The 22,181-nt window shown below is 40.5% G+C and overlaps 1 long non-coding RNA gene and 1 pseudogene across 2 annotated transcripts in view; both read left to right on the forward strand.

Moving 5' to 3' along the window:
- Positions 1-22,181, forward strand: part of DLEU1 (deleted in lymphocytic leukemia 1) — a 446,475-nt gene that overhangs the window by 78,478 nt on the left and 345,816 nt on the right. The gene's annotated exons all lie outside the window — the stretch shown is intronic.
- ST13P4 (ST13, Hsp70 interacting protein pseudogene 4) lies at positions 11,372-12,970 on the forward strand (annotated as a pseudogene). Its single transcript, NR_002183.1, has one exon. The product of NR_002183.1 is annotated as an ST13, Hsp70 interacting protein pseudogene 4 (transcript).

Below are 22,181 nucleotides of genomic sequence, written 5' to 3' on the forward strand. Positions count from 1 at the left end.
CTGTTTTTTTGGATAAGTCCCAGTCAAATGGCTGCCACAGAAGACAGAAAGTCATATATAGATTCTCCCTTTCCTCCTCATTGCTTCTTCCCTTCTCTCACCCCCATGCCCCATTCCTTATCTTTTTACTGATTTCTCTCTCCGCCCTCCTCCTAGTCATACATCTACTTTTTTCTAGTATTCCTAGTTTTTTTTTTTTTCCTCACAGTTGTTCATGGCTCTTTGCACACCACTGTCTAAGTCTGAAGAAGTAAAAAGAGAATGAAATAAGTGTTGCCAAGCAAGACCCTTCTCTTCTTTCCATGTTTGGAAAACAACCTCTTGGAATACAGCTCTTGAAATGTATTGAATTATCTTTGTGTTTTGTACACAGCCCAGTGTACAAAACTGGGATTGAGGGATTGAATTATCATTGTGTTTTGTACACAGCCCGGAGTGCTCAAGACATTCCAAAAAGGTTAAATGACAGCAGTAGCAGTCACCCCTCTTATGCAAGACATTCTGGGCTTCATCCAAGATAGGTGGAGCATTGCTGTATCACTCTCATGCATTCATTTGCTCATTTATTCTCTAAATAAAGAGATAAGCAGAGGCCAGATTCCGTTAGGCCTTCCAGACCATAATGAAGAATTTGGTTTTGATTCTAAGAACTGTGGGAGGCCAGGGGACTGACATGGTCTGATTTGTGTTTTTAAAAGCTATCTCTGGCTGCAGTATGAGAATGGATGATAGAGGTCAAGGTCAGGAGCAGGAGATCAGTTAGAGAAGCTATTGCAGAATTCCAGGCTACAGATAATGGTGGCTTAGACTAGGATGGTTGAAGTGGAAATGAAGAGAAGTGGACCAATTCTTGCCAAAACATATATCTGTAAGCCGAACCCTATTTCTTATATTAGTGTTGCCTTCATTTAAGGCTGGGGGCTGGCTCCAGCATTTTGATGCTTGGGTTAGTGTGCTAGAAGCTGGCCTGGAAGCCTAGAAGTCTGGCCCCATTGGACCACCTTACTGGGTCAGATGTAATCCTGGCCCACTAGCCACTCATGCCTCTTGCAGGGTCATGAAGCTGCTTAAAATGTTTGTTCGGTAACTTAATTACTGTTTCACCTACATTCCATTGGCTTAAATTCTTTTCTTTTCTTTTTTTTTTTTTAAATAAAAGAGATGCTGGAAGCGATGGTTTAATACATTTTAAAGTTCTTTTCCCACCTATTTCCTACTCTGTTTGCATTGTCATTTGGGATATTTCATGCAAGCAATCTGTTGAAATGAGAATTTTAATGTTGCGGGCATAATGTTGCTAGTATTGCTTTGAAAACACCACATCAGCTGTCACCAACACTGGACACGGCAGAGTTTATTTCACAGATATTTGCTAAGGGCTGGGTGTGCGGAAAAAAAAAAAAAAGGTATGGCCTCTGCTTCCAAGGAGCTTGAGAGGAAGGGAAAGTAATACAAATTCTTGAACATCTTTTAACTGCTAGCCTTTTACATCCACGACTCATTCAGCTGTTGCAATACCTCTGAGGTGAGTGTTACTCTTATCCTTAGGATGAGGAAAGGGGCCCAGCCATCTGTCTCAAATCATACTGCTGTCGTGTACAAGCCGTGAGCTAAACCCAAAGTCCATGGCCTTCCCACCTTATGCTGTAGGTACACTTCAAAAGCTGTCATGTCTTCTGTTTGAATACCACCCCTGCCCCTTCACAGCTGCAAGATCTTGGGAAAAATGTCTTCATCTCTGTGAGCCTCAGTTTCCTTATCTTTAAAATATAGATAATAGTATTTACCTCAAAAGGGTATGCATGAAGCATATATGAAAGTTCTTGGCACATAGTAGCCAGGAACTAAATATTGTTAGTTTCCTTTTTTGGTGAACCAGTGTATGGCAAGAGAATTTGTGATGTGATTTTGGTGTAGAGTCTTAAGCAAGCATGGCAAGTATTTTTTGTTTGTTTTCAACTTCACAGATGTTAGAAAAGCTTGTGTTGTACATTTATGTTTAGACATTAGGAGAGAGATTCTTTCTTGGGTTGCAAGATTGTAGGATTTGTTTGCAGAGTATCTGTATCTGGACAGAGAGGCATTCTCAAGCTCCTGGCCCATCCTACCCAATTCAGGTAGCAACAGGAGGGGAAAGAGGCAGTTGTTTGTATAAGGCATGTAAATGAAGGCTGAAAATCCTGTAGGGTCAATTCGTGTGTCCTTTGGAGCTGAAATTAATGGATATTTTCCTTTGAAGGGTCGACTCTCCAGGCTATATCCAATACAATACAGGGACCTCACACTGTCTTTTTGTGAGGGATCATATTTGTTTTTTCAGGCCTTGATGAAAACCAATTTGCCTTTCCTGAAACTAGACATTTAAGCTTTGATGAGCTGACAAAGGGGGGATGGGCAGACAACAATAACCTTGCAGTCTATTTTAGGCTCTTAAAAATAATATATGGGACAATAGTATTGCTAGCTTCTCCACAAAGTGCCCCTTTATAAGCATGTGTACAAGATAGGAAACTACCAACATGAGGGGAAAAAAGGCCAAAAGGCTGATCTTAATTATTGAACTGTGCTGTGTTGGTTTCTTTTAGAGTGGATTGTGGAGGTCACATTTGTAGGAGATTCTCAGTTGGTTTACTGTAGTTTGTTAAAATTATTGAGACATAGGTGATTTCAACTCTTTTTTTTTTTTTTTTTTTTGAGACAGAGTTACACTCTTTCACCCAGGCTGGAGTGAAGTGGCGTGATTTCAGCTCACTGCAACCTCTGTCCCCTGGGTTCAAGCAATTCTACTGCCTCAGCCTCCCAAGTAGCTAGGATTATAGGTGCCTGCCACCATACCTGGCTAATTTTTGTATTGTTGGTAGAGACGGGTTTTCGCTATGTTGGCCAGGCTGGTCTTGAACTCCTAACCTCAGGTGATCCACCTGCCTCGGCCTCCCAAAGTGCTAGGATTACAGGTGTGAGCCACCGCGTCTGGCCAATTTTAACCCTTTAACATTTACTTTTACTCTTTAAGAACGACATTTACTCTTTAAGAAGAACTTTTCTTCCCTTACACAGTGTCTGCTTTGAACCGAGTCTTTGATATATAGAGACCCTATTAGACCCATCAAATGTCCTCTCAGCCCTTGGATTATTTCTCTTCCAACTCTGTTTTCCTATAATATGATCTACTACATACCAGCAGCCAGTCTCGGGCAATATAACGAAGGCTAGCAGTATGTTCACATGGTCATGTGTATTTCTAAATTTTGCAAAACCAAGATGTGTTAAGTGCTGTCACTGAAGATCACTTTCTTTTTCCATTCTGACTTCCTCACCGTCATCATTCGCCTCCTGTCAGATAGTATCTGAGTGATGGGCACGTTTTGGATCTGGCTAGAGGAAGTTGAATTGGGGATACATGTATTTTAGTGTGATATTTTAATGTAGTTTGCAGTCCCTTTCATAGTCATCTGGGTGAGGAATGGCTTGTAGGAATATTCTTACCACCCATTGGACAGCTCACCAGCATGGATGGGGAGCAAAGGTGAAGGCCATAGGTCCTAAGGCTAGGAGCCAGTCCTATGGCACTCATCCTAGAAATATGGGGTAGTGGAGAAAAATGAGGCTGGAAACAAGGTTTGAGAAGCTCAAATGTAGGAAATTCTTACCTCTGTAGACATAAAATTGTGAGCAGAAGAATTGATGCCAGCCAAATATATTCTCTCCTGTTTGGAATATATGCAGTGATACTGAGTATACAATTATAAACTCACTATGTGTGTGTATTTGTGTGTGTATATACATACTTTTAATTTTCTTTTTTGTTGAGAATAGTGTGGAATTGATTTTGTCAGAATCCCTATGTTTGTAGGGCACGAGCCTGAAGGCATGGAGCAAGAATGTCTGTGTGAGAAGACACATGATTTCTGCCTCCTATTCTGGATCTCATATATGTATCTTATTGCATCTGTTGCATCTTGTCCTGAGACAGCCTGATGGTTCCAGAGGAAAGTGTGCAAAATTGCCACTAAAGCAAGAGACATGCTCTGAGAAACAAGCATTCCATGACAAACTGTCACACATTTTCATCAATAAGTCACGGTATATAGTATAAGAGGAATTCAATGAATTTCTCTTATGTAGCTTAGTGCAGTGTAGGAACGTTTGAATTGTTCTCGTATATGCCTTAATTTCAGGTTAATTGTGTATTTTTTTTTCAGAATTACTGTTCATATCAAAATTCAGATATGATTTGGGTAATGGGTTCATTAGAAGCCCAAACCCCAGCATCACACAATATACCCAAGTAACAAACCTGTACATGTACCTCCTGAATCTATAAAAAAACAAAAATAGCTGGGCACGGTGGCTCACAGCTGTAATCTCAGCACTTTGGGTAGCCGAAGCAGGTGGATAACCTGAGGTCAGGAGTTTGAGACCAGACTGGTCAACATGGTGAAACGCTGTCTCTACTAAAAATACAAAAATTAGCTGGGTGTGGTGGTGGGCGCCTGTAATACCAGCTACTTGGGAGGCTGAGGTAGGAGATTTGCTTGAACTTGGGAGGCGGAGGTTGCAGTGAGCCAAGATTGCGCCACTGCACTCCAGCCTGGGTGACAGAGTGAGACCCTGTCTCAGAAAAAAAAAAAAAAAAAAGATAAAAAGAAAACAAAACAGATATGACAGGAAGGACATATTCCTGTTGAAAGCCATAGTGTAACAATCACTACAAAGAGAATAAAATACCTAGGAATCCAACTTACAAGGTATGTGAAGGACCTCGTCAAGGAGAACTACAAACCGCTGCTCAACGAAATAAAAGAGGACACAAACAAATGGAAGAACATTCCATGCTCATGGGTAGGAAGAATCAGTATCATGAAAATGGCCATACTGCCCAAAGTAATTTATAGATTCAATGCCATCCCCATCAAGCTACCAATGACTTTCTTCACAGAATTGGAAAAACTACTTTAAAGTTCATATGGAACCAAAAAAGAGCCCGCATAGCCAAGACAATCCTAAGCAAAAAGAACAAAGCTGGAGGCATCATGCTACCTGACTTCAAACTATACTGCAAGCCTACAGTAACCAAAACAGCATGGTACTGGTACCAAAACAGAGTATAGACCAATGGAACAGAACAGAGGCCTCAGAAATAATACCACACATCTACAACCATCTGATCTTTGATAAACCTGACAAAAACAAGAAATGGGGAAAGGATTCCCTATTTAATAAATGGTGCTGGGAAAACTGGCTAGCCATATGTAGAAAGCTGAAACTGGATCCCTTCCTTACACCTTATATGAAAATTAACTCAAGATGGATTAAAGACTTAAATGTAAGACCTAAAATCATAAAAACCCTAGAAGAAAACCTAGGCAATACCATTCAGGACATAGGCATGGGCAAAGACTTCATGACTAAAACACCAAAAGCAATGGCAACAAAAGCCAAAATAGACAAATGGGATCTAATTAAACTAAAGAGCTTCTGCACAGCAAAAGAAACTACCATCAGAGTGAACAGGCAACTTACAGATTGGGAGAAAATTTTTGCAATCTACCCATCTGACAAAGGGCTAATATCCAGAATCTACAAAGAATTTAAACAAATTTACAAGAAAAAAACAAACAACCCCATCAAAAAGTGGGCAAAGGTTATGAACAGACACTTCTCAAAAGAAGACATTTATGCAGCCAACAGACATATGAAAAAATGCTCATCATCACTGGTCATCAGAGAAATGCAAATCAAAACCACAATGAGATACCATCTCATGCCAATTACAATGGCGATCATTAAAAAGTCAGGAAACAACAGATGCTGGAGAGGTTGTGGAGAAATAGGAACGTTTTTACACTGTTGGTGGGGGTGTAAACTAGTTCAACCATTATGGATGACAGTGTGGCATTTCCTCAAGGATCTAGAACTAGAAATACCATTTGACCCAGCAATCCCATTACTGGGTATATACCCAAAGGATTATAAATCATGCTGCTATAAAGACACATGCACACGTTTGTTTAATGTGGCACTATTCACAATAGCAAAGACTTGGAACCAACCCAAATGTCCATCAATGATAGACTGGATTAAGAAAATGTGGCACATATACACCATGGAATACTATGCAGCCGTAAAAAGGATGAGTTCATGTCCTTTATAGGGACATGGATGAAGCTGGAAACCATCATTCTCAGCAAACTATCACAAAGACAGAAAACCAAACACTGCATGTTCTCACTCATAGGTGGGAACTGAACAATGAGAACACTTGGACACAGGGTGGGGAACAACACACATTGGGGCCTGTTAGGGGGTGGGGGGCTGGGGGAGAGATAGCATTAGGAGAAATACCTAATGTCAATGATGAGTTGATGGGTGTGGCAAACCACCATGGCACATGTATACCTATGTAACAAACCTGCACATTGTGCACATGTATCCTAGAACTTAAAGTATAATAATAAAAAAAGAAAAAAGAAAGAAAGAGATAGAGGAAACAAAAAGGATGCCATAAGTATAAGTTGAAAGAAAATATTTGTGGTATTTGCCAGCTTTAAAAAAGTTTGTAAGTTGTGTGATTTCTGTACTCATTCTCAATAAATGTTCATTATTTGTATCTAATTTTATGTATTTTTTCTTAAAGAGGGACACAAAATTTGCATATGCTTTAGGTTTCATAAAGCCTGGACTTGCCCTGTTTCATACCAATGTTGTGGACATATTCATAGCAGTCTGACAGTACCTGTGAGATGAGGAAGCAACATGCTGTAGTGGAAGAAGCAGCCTTGATTCTACCACTAGGAGCTGTGTAACTTCAGCTTGTTTCTTAGCCTCTGTGAATTTTGGTGTCCTCAGCTGTCAAGTTTGGATGTTGATCCATCACAGAATTGTTGAGACTTAAAGGAACCCTCAGTGTACTTCTTGGCATGTGATAAACACTCAATAAATATAATTTCCTTTTTTCACTTGAGCTCTCTCTGATGGTTTACAGATTTATCTTAGGTCAGGGACCCAGGTGAGGAAATGCGTTGTCCTTTCAAAATGAATTTTGATCTGAGGGTAGTAGGTAGAGAGTTGGGGTTTCCCCTGGGATTCTTGTCTTTAATAAACCCGAGACAAAATGAATCACAATGGTGTTTTCTCTAGATGTAAAACAAAGTATGCAGTGCCTTCATCAGCTGTGTAGAGTATTGGGCTGAAAGTATTCCAATTTAGTGTGTCTGCCACTACACACACACACACACACACACACACTCATTTGGTATGACCCAAGGATTACATTATTCTGAATCACTGCAGTTTTTTGACATGGCTTCATTCTTCAATCAAAAATATTGATGAACAAAGCCCTGGGCCAGGTGCTGGATTCCCTTGAAATGTAGGAGTCTGGGAACTAGGATTTGGCATTCACGGGTGTCCTAATGAGCCTGGAGCAGCACATTCTTTCCAATATGTGTGCTTTGGCTATATGTACCAGCGATAGCCTCTATGAGGTGGGGATGGGACGGGAACCCCAGGTTAGCTAAATACTGACTTGCTGTCAGGGTATGATTTAGTCATCATAGCAGACTGGGTTAATACCTATGATACTGGACTATGAACTCTTTTCTTTAAGGACAAGACACAAGACTACTTTTTTCAGTGCCCGCCATGGCTAGTACATAGTAGGTGTTTGTAGCATTTATTGAATTGATTTACAGTCTACATTCAGTAGGAGTAAAAAAAGCCTTTTAAAGTGCCCAAAGGATTTTCCTTTTTGAAACAAAATTGCAGCTTTTTGCTGGGCGCGGTGGCTCACAGCTGTAATCCCAGCAGTTTGGGAGGCCGAGGCGGATGGATCACCTGAAGTCAAGAGTTCGAGACCAGCCTGGCCAACATGGTGAAACCCCGTCTCTACTAAAAATACAAAAATTAGCCACACGTGGTGGCAGGCACCTGTAATCCCAGCTACTTGGGAGGCTGAGGCAGGAGAATTGCTTGAACCCAGGAGGCAGAAGTTGCAGTGAGCCGAGATTGCGCCACTGTACTCCAGCCTGGGTGACAGAGTGAGACATCATCTCAAAAAAAAAAAAAAAAAAAAGAGAAAGAAAAAAGAAAAAGAAAATTGCAGCTTTTGATGAATAGCCTGATAATTATGTCCCTTAGCCTGCTGTTGTGGAGGAATAGGAGTCATTTTGAAATGGGGAATCAGAAGCAGTCTGTTTCACACTTTGCTCACAAGTGATTCCTCTGAGTGAAAGAAGTCAAACCAAAGCAAGTCCAGGGAAGTCTGAGAAGTTAGCATACTTGCAAAGACAAAACAGCCACAAGTCAACTGTCAGCTGAGTGAGTGCCTGTCTGGACGTTATCCTGCAGGCAGTTAGGAAGAAACATTGTTTGAAGACGCCTGTCACCAGCACACATGACTGATTTCTCATCAGAAGAGGGATTGTGAGTGAAATAAGAAAAAGTCTGTGTAATATGTGTCATGATGAGTTATACATTTACCTATTAACTGTATACAAAACCTTTATGCATATAGATTATCCATATTTTATTTGGGGGCCATCTGGTTAATTTGCCTGCTTTCTAAACTATTGAGTCAAATAAGCTCACTCAGGTATTGTCAGAATGAACCCACCTAATCTGGTTAACATTTTGGTGTCTGGGCAAGGTCTACCCAGGATCAAATCTGTTGACACCCTTCTCTCCAACCCCAGCCCTGTCCCTACCTACACACACGCTTTGTTTAAAAATACTCATTGGTGCTTACTCTGTGTCAGGTGTCAGGTAGTGTGCTAGCACTGAGGATGCATAGTCCTTTCCCTCTTTTTTTTTTTCTTTGGGACAGTGTCTTACTCTGTCACCCAAGCTGGAGTGCAGTGGTGTGATCGTGGCTCACTGCAGCCTTATCCTTGACCTCCTGGGCTCAGCTGATCTTCCCACCTCAGTACCTCCTGAGTAACTGGGACTACAGCTGTGCACTACCACCGGGCTAATTTTTCAGTTTTATGTTTTTGTAGACTTGGGGTCTTACTATGTTGCCTAGGCTGATCTTGAACTCCTGGACTCAAGCAATCCTCCTCCCTCAGCCTCCCAAACTGCTGGGATTACAGTTGTGAGCCACTGTACCCGGCCTCATCATATCCCTCTTGAAGCTTGCAGTGTAGGACAGGTGAACCCAGCAGCCACATCTCTTATTTGGGTATTGCGGGAGACCTGGCATAGTCAGCATCCAGCAGTGTTTCCAGAGTGGCTGGCCTTGCTGCTTCTCCTCACTTGCTCCTCAAGGGCAAGATGATATGCAGGTTACCACTGAAGCAAATGTCCCATCCATTGTCTTCTGGTCCGCTTAAACCTTGATCTAGTAATTAATTATATGAAAGAACAGAAAAAGTTTCAGAGAATGATAATCTGTTTTAAAATTTTCTTATTCATTTTTAATAGTTGTGTTTTTGGGGTACATATGATTTTTGATATGTGTATACAATGTGTAATGATCAAATCAGGGTAATTGGGGTATCTGTCACCTCAAACATTTATTTTTTCTTTGTGTTGGGAACATTGCAATTCTTCTCTTCTAGTTATTTTGAAATATACAATAAATTATCATTAACTATAATTTCCCTACTGTAGTATCAAATACTAGAACTTATTCCTTATAATGATAATCTCTTTAATAGTCATATTTAAATGCCAATTTACAAATGGAGTAAAATATTTAACAGAATTGAATTGATAATTTTGAGGCCTTTGTTAATAACTACTCTTAATTGCAGCAATTTTGTTTTGGACAGAGATTATGGGAATAAATTTTAATTCTGGTTGGAAAATAGTACTGAAACAGCACTTGTCTTATTCTTTCAAATTTTTAGTACTTGGGTATTTGGAGTCATTGAGATTTACTCTTTGTATATGCAGGAACATTAGTTGTTTCAGACTGGACAATGGCTGGTTATAAGTAGTTGAATAAAATCCCTGCAGTTCATCCATTCTTCTCCTACCAGCAGGTGTCATTATGGAAATATGAAAATACTGTAAATTCCAGAGTTGTAGGAACTAGCTGTGAGAAAGAAAAGTAACACTTTGGATATTAAAAAACAACAAAAAATGAAAAAATCATTTGGCACTAAGCAAGGATGGCATGTTTAATTACTGATTTGGCAGTGTTCTACAGTATGATGTAATAGGATTTTAAAGCACATAATTTATTTTAATTAGATTAAGTAAATATTTATAAGAACCATTCTAGGCTCATAGGAGTCACAAAAGAAAAGTAAGATGTGATTCTTATCCTCGAGGAGCCGACATGATATCTGAGGATACATTAATGAAATAATTAGTTCATAGAATGAATCAATCTTTCTTTTTTACATGCTGGATTGAAGAACATAGACAGTAAAAGTTGCAAAAGCTGGAGGGACTGAGTAGTGTTTTTGATTGTGGGTTAATCAAAGAAAAAGTTTTAAAAATTCAAGTAGGGAGGAACTTCAAAATAATTTGGTAACTTGATAGCTCATTCCTTCCTTTCTTGCTAACTGCCTATCTCTCGCTATAATCTAAAGTAATAATTATAATAATTACATATTACATATGTATCCAAGGATGTAACAATTGGATTTAACAGTTTACTATAATCGGCCGGGCGCGGTGGCTCATGCCTATAATCCCAGCACTTTGGGAGGCCGAGGCGGGCAGATCACGAGGTGAAGAGATGGAGACCATCCTGGCCAACATGGTGAAACCCCATCTCTACTAAAAATACAAAAATTAGCTGGGGGTGGTGATGCGTGCCTGCAGTCCCAGCTACTCGGGAGGCTGAGGCAGGAGAATCGCTTGAACCCGGGAGGCGGAGGTTGCAGTGAGCCGAGATCGCGCCACTGCACTCCAGCCTGGGAGACAGAGTGAGACTCCATCTCAAAACAAAAGAAAATGAAAAAACAAAACAAAAAAATGGTTTTCTATAATCAAGCGACTAATATGATCAAATCTTTCTAAAAACTAAGGTAAACATTATAAGTGAGCATTTGTATTAGGAGACTTTTCCAGGAACCTGGATCAGGTTCTAAGTGTGCTCGGTCAGGGTCAGTGCTTCATTCACCCTGTTTTCCCCTCTAGACTGTGAGGTTTTCTAAGGCATGGGATATGTGGCATTCCTCTTTGCATTCCTGGCACTCTTAATTCTGCCTCTGGATCTGTAGTGAGCTCTTAGTACATGTTTGTTGAATGACAGTATCACCAAAGGATAGGGTATTTACAGTCCTTTGTACATTATATTGTTAGAATGAATGCATATTGATACTAGACTAGGCAACCTCAGGTTGAATATTTCAGAAAACTGGATTGAGAAACCTGGCTTGAAAAGTTGATAGCATAGGCAGCCGCCCCCTTCTGCGCTGTCACGCCGAGCCAGCGCCTGGGCCTGGAACCGGGCCGCAGCCCCCCGGCTTCGCCCACCATCTCCCTACCATGGACCCCCGCAAAGTGAACGAGCTTCGGGCCTTTGTGAAAATGTGTAAGAAGGATCCAAGCATTCTGCACACCCAGGAAATGCGCTTCCTGAGGGAGTGGGTGGAGAGCATGGGAGGTACTGCTACTCAGAAAGCTAAATCAGAAGAAAATACCAAGGAAGAAAAACCTGATAGTAAGGTGGAGGAAGACTTAAAGGCAGACGAACCATCAAGTGAGGAAAGTGATCTAGAAATTGATAAAGAAGGTGTGATTGAACCAGACACTGATGCTCCTCAAGAAATGGGAGATGAAAATGCGGAGATAACAGAGGAGGTGATGGATCAGGCAAATGATAAAAAAGTGGCTGCTATTGAAGCCCTAAATGATGGTGAACTCCAGAAAGCCATTGACTTATTCACAGATGCCATCAAGCTGAATCCTCGCTTGGCCATTTTGTATGCCAAGAGGGCCAGTGTCTTCGTCAAATTACAGAAGCCAAATGCAGCCATCCGAGACTGTGACAGAGCCATTGAAATAAATCCTGATTCAGCTCAGCCTTACAAGAGGCGGGGGAAAGCACACAGACTTCTAGGCCACTGGGAAGAAGCAGCCCATGATCTTGCCCTTGCCTGTAAATTCGATTATGATGAAGATGCTAGTGCAATGCTGAAAGAAGTTCAACCTAGGGCACAGAAAATTGCAGAACATCAGAGAAAGTATGAGCGAAAACGTGAAGAGTGAGAGATCAAAGAAAGAATAGAACGAGTTAAGAAGGCTCGAAAAGAGCATGAGAGAGCCCAGAGGGAGGAAGAAGCCAGATGACAGTCAGGAGCTCAGTATGGCTCTTTTCCAGGTGGCTTTCCTGGGGGAATGCCTGGTAATTTTCCTGGAGGAATGGCTGGAATGGGAGGGGGCATACCTGGAATGGCCGGAATGCCTGGACTCAATGAAATTCTTAGTGATCCAGAGGTTCTTGCAGCCATGCAGGATCCAGAAGTTATGGTGGCCTTCCAGGATGTGGCTCAGAACCCAGCAAATATGTCAAAGTACCAGAGCAACCCAAAGGTTATGAATCTCATCAGTAAATTGTCAGCCAAATTTGGAGGTCAAGCATAACGCCCTTCTGATAAATAAAGCCCTTGCTGAAGGAAAAGCAACCTAGATCACATTATGGATGTCGCAATAATACAAACCAATGTACCTCTGACCTTCTCATCAAGAGAGCTGGGGTGCTTTGAAGATAATCCCTACCCCTCTCCCCCAAATGCAGCTGAAGCATTTTACAGTGGTTTGCCATTAGGGTATTCATTCAGATAATGTTTTCCTACTAGGAATTACAAACTTTAAACACTTTTTAAATCTTCAAAATATTTAAAACAAATTTAAAGGGTCTGTTAATTCTTATATTTTTCTTTACTAATCATTTTGGATTTTTTTCTTTGAATTATTGGGCAGGGAAGATACTTATGTGTGGAAGATTATTGCTCTAATTTGAGTGAAATAAAAGTTATTAGTGCGAGGCAAACATAACTCATTTGAGGATAAAAAAAAAGAAAAGTTGATAGCATAGATTCTGAAGTTTTCTCTTTTGATTCCACTTCTCCATCCGAGGACATATATTTCAAAAAGTATTTCAGTAAGCGATGTGATTCCAGGACATTGTCCATGAGATATAGAGGACATTGTACTTCATCTAAATAAAACTGGGCCTAATTTTAGGCAGAAGGATGTACGTAGTGTTATTTTATTACCTTTTCAACAACTTTCTTAGTAATCAGTCATTTTCAATGAAGACAGTTTGTTCACCACCATATTTGAAGACTATTATTAATTTACCAGCTGCTATATGGTAAGGGGTCTGTCCTCAGCCTACCTTTGGTAGTTTGAACTAGTTATACTTTGTTCATCATTTTCTGACATCTCCAGCTGCTTACTAGACTTCTCTGTTTTGATTTTCCATTGTCACCTCCTATGTAACATGTCAAATAGGGAAATCATCGCTTTTACCTATAAACCACATCTTCCTTTAAGGCCATACCTTTTCTTTTAATGTTACCATTTATTTTCCAGTTCCCCAGGTGAAAAACTTTGATGTTTCCTTGTTCTCAACCCCTTCCCCGATCCAATCAATCAAAATAGTATCTATACTTCCTTTGTGATGCCTATGATAACCATTCTTTTCTTCCTTTCTGTTTCTATTACCAAGACCCTGGATTAGACCACGCATGAATGACATAGCTTCTTGAATCATCCTATTAGCGTTTTCTCCTCTTTTACCCCCTATTAGTGAGTAGGAACATTTTAGTTAGAATTACTCAAATATCAGTACCAAGTCCACACCCTTAATCAGAGTTGCTAGGGCCCTTCATGACTTGCTGATGATCACTCTAACTCAACTCTTGTACCCTTAAAACTGTTTGCTCTGGTCATATAGAAAAATGCAATTTTCCAATCTAGCCATGTTCTCTTTGACTTCCAGATTATTTGTATTGTGGTAGAATACACATAACATAAAATTGACCATTTTAACCATTTTGAAGTGCACAGTTCAGTGGCACTAAGTATATTCCCATTGTTCTGCAACCATCACCATCATCCATCTCGAGAAATGTTTCATCTTCCTAAACAGAAACTCTGTACCCATTAAACACTAATTACCTATTTCCCCTCCTCCCAGCTTCTGGCAGCCACTATTCTACTTTCTATCTCTATGAATTTAACTACTCAAAGTACCTCATATAAGTGGAAGTATACAATATAGGTCCTTTTGTGGCTGGCTTGTTTCACTTTGCATAATGTCCTCAAAGTTCATCTATGTTGTAGCATGTGTCAGAATTTCCTTCCTTTTTAAGGCTGAATAATATTCCATTATATGTCTATGCCACATTTTGTTTATTCATTCATCCACTGAGAGACATTTGGGTTGCAGTTTCTTCTCTTTAAGTGTATTCTGCTAATTAAAAACAGGTTACTCTTCCTGCCACTTCTTTCAGTCATGTTACTTTGCTGCTCAGAAGCCTTCAATGAGTTCCTTTTTACAGATAGGGTAAGTCGCAGCATGCACAGCATAACACTCAAGGCTCTTGCCTCTCTGGGCCCTGACCTATGTATAAAACCTTTCTGTTAATTATTAGTCTTCAACATTTATTCATGAAACATAGTTTTTGAGTGTCTGGTATGTGTTGGGCCTTGGGGTAAGTGCAGAGTAAACCAAATAGATATTGTCCCTTACCCTATGGAACTGACTTTGGAGTTAAGTGATTCCTTCGCTCAAGCCAGAAGGCTCTCCTTTTTACCTTGGAAGCTGGCTACTTCACCCAACATGAATATACCAAAGACCATTTGGTAAATGACCAGCTCACCAAAGCTAATTCTGCAAAAATCACTTGACCAAATAATGATTTTGCTGAAAAATTGAGGTTTATATTTTTTACTTTGTCCCTGTCATCACTGCTGTTCTCTTCCTGGGCATGCATTGGCCAACTGCTGTTTAATATGAACTTTGCCTGTTTTTCACATTCCAGACTCTGAGAATTTTTAGAATGGTCAACATTTTCTACGGGATGGTCAAGTGTTTTCCATTTGTTTGTTTATTTTTTAAAGCACTGTTTTTTGTCTTAATTACTTTTGCCTCTGTCCCTATTGCTCCTGCTTCTGCACCTTCCTGTGCCCTGGTGCAATGGCTATGAGAAATTGCTCTAAACCCTGTGTAAAGGATTTGCCAGATGATTGCTCAGTGAATTGTTCATTCGTTGAGTTAGTCAGTAAGAAGATGATCATTTGGCAAATTAGTTTCCAAACATTTTAAAATTTCTTCTCTCCCTTGTAGGAAATCAAAGGGAAGCATTTTCTACTATTTTTTTCAGGTCTATCCTCTCTGTTTGAACCATAATATCTTTTTTTGAGATGGAGTCTTGCTTTGTTGCCCAGCTGGAGTGCAGTCACACGATCTGGGCTCATTACAGCTTCTGCCTCCCAGGTTTAAGCGATTGCAGCGCCTCAGCCTCCCAAGAAGCTGGGATTACAGGCATGTGCCACCACACCCAACTAGTTTTTGTATTTTTAGTAGAAATGGGGTTTTATCATGTTGGCCAGGCTGGTCTGGAACTCCTGACCTCAAGTGATCCACCTGCCTTGGCCTCCCAAAATGCTGGGATTACAGGCATGAGCCACTGTGCCCAGCCAAACCATAATCTCTTTTAATAGCTCTGTTGATTTGTTTTTGGGAGTAGCCTTCTTGTGAGTAGGCTTCTTGGGAGTAGCCTTCTTACATCTTGTGCTCAGAATCAGTAGTTGCTTGGTTAATCTAAAGAAGCTGGTTAAGGTGTAGAATCATAAAAACAATATAGACACATCTTTTAAAATAAAACTCCAATGTGCATTCTATTAACCAATCCTTTAGGATCAAGACATTTTCTTCCAAAATGGGTCCACTAATTATTCAAATCATCTCTCTTTCATAAACCATACTCATTATGAATTACCTATGATTTCCAGTTTCAGTTTCTTTAGACAGGAGCAAGATCTTAAAGACACTGTGATACAATGAGTAAAGAATCCTGGTGTATTTTTACTATTTTTCCCTGCCATTAACACTTGTCATATACAGTTTAAGAGCAGATTATCTTAGCAACATATCTGTATTGATTCTTTAAAAGGATTCAACCTAATTTTTAATGTAACTATTTTTATTGTCACATTCATCAGACAACATATTTAATTAAATATGATTATAATAACAAATACAAGTGGCACAACTTTTCTATCAATTGCCTGTTGGTAAGCGAACCATGCAATTGCTGGGAGTAGAAGCCTACAGGCTTACGAGGGAGGAGGCTGCGATCCAGGAGCACTGAGCATGCCTGGTATCAGCCAGTATGTTTCCCTGAGGACATAGGGAGCACTGGTTAAATGTATAGTCATTTAGTGCAGGTTGGCTATACAGGCTTTTACTGTATTTGTTCATCCTTATAGACAAAGCTGTGTTATTGCTTACTATCTTGTAATAAAGTAGGAGTTGAGGTGAGATCTAGCAGAAATTGATATGGGGAACTGCACAAATCCTTCAGGTTCAAATGACAAGAACAGGGAATATTTACATTTGATGTAAATTTGCATCACTTCATCAGAAGTCCAGAACCTGTGGGAATGGGGGTGCAGAGAGTGAAGAAGCAGTTTTAGACTGACATCGTTGGCAACTTTATTTTGGGGCAGACGGACCATCTCTGCCAGGAACTCTACTCCTCTGCCTAAATGACCATGCGGCCCCCCTTCCAAGGGAAGTCTCTAGGTGGACATCATGTGACTGCCCACCCCTTGGTCTGCACCCACCTTCCATGTAAGGAAGTGCTAGTGGCCTTCTATCAGGGTCTCTTCCACTGACTTCTGTATGTATATGTGTGTGGGAAGGAATTGTGTGTTGGGGGTAGGAGGTGGGGTCAGGGCTCTGTGCCTCTGCAGTGCATCCAGAAATTCCTCAACATTTTTCACAGTGTATATGCCCTCTCTAGTTTCCAGTACTGATAAAAGCTTTTCCCTGTTTTTGTATTCCGCTTGTCACTTCCCTGGAAATCCACATAGAAGGGATTGGAAGTCTGTCCTCTTTTATTCCAAATCTTCCTCTTCCCCTTCACCTCAAACTTTGTATTTTAGGCTCTTAAACGGGTCTGTACATAACTTTTTCCTCTGCTATAAGCACATAACTAATAAACTATGGGTTAGAGTAAGGTAATTGGCAGTTCTGTTTCTCAGTGTTCGTACCATTAAAATGATTTTTCCAAATCAGACTCAAGGCAATGGAATAATAATAATGAGAAGTTATTTTGCACTGTGCTTTATGGTTTTACCATGATTTAGTGCTTCATTTAATGAGACAAATAACCAGACAAGGCCGGGGGTGGTGGCTCACGCCTGTAATCCCAGCACTTTGGGAGATCAAGGTGGGAGGATTACTTGAGGTCAGGAGTTCAAGACCAGCCTTGGCAACATGGTGAAACCCCGTCTCTACAAAAAATTAAAAAATTAGCAGGGCGTCGTGGCGCATGCCTGTACCTGTAGTCCAAGCTACTTGGGAGGCTGAGGTGGGAGGATCACTTGAGCCTGGGAGGTCGAGGCTGCAGTGAGCTATGATCGTGCCACTGTACTCCAGCCTGAGCAACAGAGCAAGATCCTGTCTCAAAAAAAAAAAATTAAAAAAAAAATAAAATAAAATAACAAGACTACTTGAGTGGAGTGTTTTTGGAACAAAACATTACCTGAGATGAGAGAGGCATTATCGTCTGCTTTCAGCAGGACACTCTGCTTGGAGCCCTGGTCTGGGTACTCTTGGATTTTCTGCTCTCAGCATTGTCTCATGTAGGTACAGTTACATCAGGTCATTATCTTGTTGGGGCTATTACTTTAAAAAAATAGATACAGTTTTTGACAAAAAAGAAAGATAGACAAATAAAATGTCAAGGACAGCCAAGACAGACCCTAGCTTCAGTCTTGAGGATGGCTTTCAGAAAATCACGGCTGGATTTCCTTGCCTGTGATCTTGTTTTTGAACTGCCTAAACCTGCACTGTCACAAATGGGCACATTTTTGCTCGACCAAAGAAAAGATGAATTTGGTGGCTTTGGAACAACATTTTCTTCATTTGCTCAACCACAGGGAGAATAAGGGCTATTTGAGAAATAGCCCTTGGACAGCAGGCATCTTTCTTCTAACAGAAGACGAAATGGATCCTCCATCTGTCTCACCATACAACCCTTGCTGTATGTGTCAACTTGGGTTGAAATCTTATAGATGCTGTTGTCGATCTCTGAACTCAAAAATCTCTTGTATTACTATAAATTACCCTCATTGACTTCCCTAAGTGTTCTCAGATTTCTCTTCTAAAACTGTCCCTCCAGGGATCTGCAGGGAAGATGAAGATTTTTTGTTTGTTTGTTTGTTTGTTTTTTGGGTGGGTAGGGGGGACACCAAATGCCATGAACTCAGTCCCTGCTTTGATTTGGGAAGCTGACCATATCTGAGGCAATTCTCCTACAGCTGTGGTTCAATTCTCCTCTTCTTTTCATTACCTCCCAGGCTAGGAGCCTCTGATTGTGTGAAGGTGGGGTAAGTAGCATGACTCTCCATAAAGAAAAGCCCATGCTTACTCCCAAGATGAGGCAGTGAGCCTTAATAAAAAAGGTGCTGGAAGTAATCCCCCTTTAAGACAGTCTAACATGAGAAATGCTCAAGAGAATATTGTGCACATATTAGACACCCAATCAGTATTTGTTGAGTGAGTACATGAATGCAGCAGTGGGTGGCAGTCATGCTAGGCCATTTCTGGTGCAGCCTCCATGTCTGTTTACCTCTTCAGACCTTAATTCTTCATCTCCTTTCCTCTCCTTATCATGGTTCCATTGTTGCTCTGCTTTTTCTTGCTAACTCAGGGGAAAAGACAAGGGCTAGTTTGGGGATTACATTTCAAGGCTGCACTGAACTGATGGCAATTGAAGGACAGAGAATGGGAACTACAAAGGATGCTTCTGAACCAGATTCCTATATAACTTCTCTCAAATGCAGACATAGATACCTGCCTCTGCCGGTCTTGATGCTAGGATAGGGCTGATGGTCATAGGTTGCCAAAGAGTTTTTTTTTTTTTTTTTTTTTTTTTTGGAGACAGAGTCTCACACAGTGGTGCCGTCTCAGCTCATTGCAACCTCCAACTCCCAGGTTCAAGTGATTCTCCTGCCTCAGCCTCCTGAGTAGCTGGGACTACAGGCATGAACCACTGCACCTGGCTAATTTTTGTACTTTTAGTGGAGACAGAGTTTTGCCATGTTGGCCAAGCTGATCTTGAACTCCTGGCCTCAAGTGATCCACCCAGATTGGCCTCCCAAAATGCTGGGATTACAGGCATGAGCCACCATTCCCAGCCCCAAAGAGCTTTCTTAGAAGAGCAGCTGCTCAGTGCCCCAGCTGGGTTTCTAATACTTTATAAACTAAGGTGTTTAAAGTATGCTCATGTCACATCTCCTTGTTCTAGCATTGTTAGGATGAATTGCGAACTCTTGACTCTGAAACTGGGAAGTGCTCTCTTTTAACTTCTCAGTTTTTAAAAACATGGCTTGTGTCTGTTCCCATTGTCATTTCTGGCCTTCATATGGCCACAACTACCTGTTAAGTCAGTGGAAAACAGACTGTGGCTTTTCTTAGGTGTTTTCTTCTTTTTTTTTTTTTTTGGTTAGGGTTTTTTTTTTTTTATTATACTTTAAGTTTTAGGGTACATGTGCACATTGTGCAGGTTAGTTACATATGTATACATGTGCCATGCTGGTGCGCTGCACCCACTAACTCGTCATCTAGCATTAGGTATATCTCCCAATGCTATCCCTCCCCCCTCCCCCCACCCCACCACAGTCCCCAGAGTGTGATATTCCCCTTCCTGTGTCCATGTGATCTCATTGTTCAATTCCCACCTATGAGTGAGAATATGCGGTGTTTGGTTTTTTGTTCTTGCGATAGTTTACTGAGAATGATGATTTCCAATTTCATCCATGTCCCTACAAAGGACATGAACTCATCATTTTTTATGGCTGCATAGTATTCCATGGTGTATATGTGCCACATTTTCTTAATCCAGTCTATCATTGTTGGACATTTGGGTTGGTTCCAAGTCTTTGCTATTGTGAATAATGCCGCAATAAACATACGTGTGCATGTGTCTTTATAGCAGCATGATTTATAGTCCTTTGGGTATATACACAGTAATGGGATGGCTGGGTCAAATGGTATTTCTAGTTCTAGATCCCTGAGGAATCGCCACACTGACTTCCACAATGGTTGAACTAGTTTACAGTCCCACCAACAGTGTAAAAGTGTTCCTATTTCTCCACATCCTCTCCAGCACCTGTTGTTTCCTGACTTTTTAATGATTGCCATTCTAACTGGTGTGAGATGGTATCTCATTGTGGTTTTGATTTGCATTTCTCTGATGGCCAGTGATGATGAGCATTTTTTCATGTGTTTTTTGGCTGCATAAATGTCTTCTTTTGAGAAGTGTCTGTTCATGTCCTTTGCCCACTTTTTGATGGGGTTGTTTGTTTTTTTCTTGTAAATTTGTTTGAGTTCATTGTAGATTCTGGATATTAGCCCTTCGTCAGATGAGTAGGTTGCGAAAATTTTCTCCCATGTTGTAGGTTGCCTGTTCACTCTGATGGTAGTTTCTTTTGCTGTGCAGAAGCTCTTTAGTTTAATTAGATCCCATTTGTCAATTTTGTCTTTTATTGCCATTGCTTTTGGTGTTTTAGACATGAAGTCCTTGCCCATGCCTATGTCCTGAATGGTATTGCCTAGGTTTTCTTCTAGGGTTTTTATGGTTTTAGGTCTAATGTTTAAGTCTTTAATCCATCTTGAATTGATTTTTGTATAAGGTGTAAGGAAGGGATCCAGTTTCAGCTTTCTACATATGGCTAGCCAGTTTTCCCAGCACCATTTATTAAATAGGGAATCCTTTCCCCATTGCTTGTTTTTCTCAGGTTTGTCAAAGATCAGATAGTTGTAGATATGCGGCATTATTTCTGAGAGCTCTGTTCTGTTCCATTGGTCTATATCTCTGTTTTGGTACCAGTACCATGCTGTTTTGGTTACTGTAGCCTTGTAGTATAGTTTGAAGTCAGGTAGTGTGATGCCTCCAGCTTTGTTCTTTTGGCTTAGGATTGCCTTGGCGATGCAGGCTCTTTTTTGGTTCCATATGAACTTTAAAGTAGTTTTTTCCAATTCTGTGATGAAAGTCATTGGTAGCTTGATGGGGATGGCATTGAATCTATAAAATTACCTTGGGCAGTATGGCCATTTTCATGATATTGATTCTTCCTACCCATGAGCATGGAATGTTCTTCCATTTGTTTGTATCCTCTTTTATTTCCTTGAGCAGTGGTTTGTAGTTCTCCTTGAAGAGGTCCTTCACATCCCTTGTAAGTTGGATTCCTAGGTATTTTATTCTCTTTGAAGCAATTGTGAATGGGAGTTCACTCATGATTTGGCTCTCTGTTTGTCTGTTGTTGGTGTATAAGAATGCTTGTGATTTTTGTACATTGATTTTGTATCCTGAGACTTTGCTGAAGTTGCTTATCAGCTTAAGGAGATTTTGGGCTGAGACAGTGGGGTTTTCTAGACATACAATCATGTCGTCTGCAAACAGGGACAATTTGACTTCCTCTTTTCCTAATTGAATACCCTTTATTTCCTTCTCCTGCCTAATTGCCCTGGCCAGAACTTCCAACACTATGTTGAATAGGAGTGGTGAGAGAGGGCATCCCTGTCTTGTGCCAGTTTTCAAAGGGAATGCTTCCAGTTTTTGCCCATTTAGTATGATATTGGCTGTGGGTTTGTCATAGATAGCTCTTATTATTTTGAAATACGTCCCATCAATACCTAATTTATTGAGAGTTTTTAGCATGAAGGGTTGTTGAATTTTGTCAAAGGCCTTTTCTGCATCTATTGAGATAATCATGTGGTTTTTGTCTTTGGCTCTGTTTATATGCTGGATTACATTTATTGATTTGCATATATTGAACCAGCCTTGCATCCCAGGGATGAAGCCCACTTGATCATGGTGGATAAGCTTTTTGATGTGCTGCTGGATTCGTTTTGCCAGTATTTTATTGAGGATTTTTGCATCAATGTTCATCAAGGATATTGGTCTAAAATTCTCTTTTTTGGTTGTGTCTCTGCCCGGCTTTGGTATCAGAATGATGCTGGCCTCATAAAAAGAGTTAGG

This window comes from Homo sapiens, chromosome 13 (genome assembly GCF_000001405.40).
Source record: "Homo sapiens chromosome 13, GRCh38.p14 Primary Assembly".
NCBI lineage: Eukaryota > Metazoa > Chordata > Mammalia > Primates > Hominidae > Homo > Homo sapiens.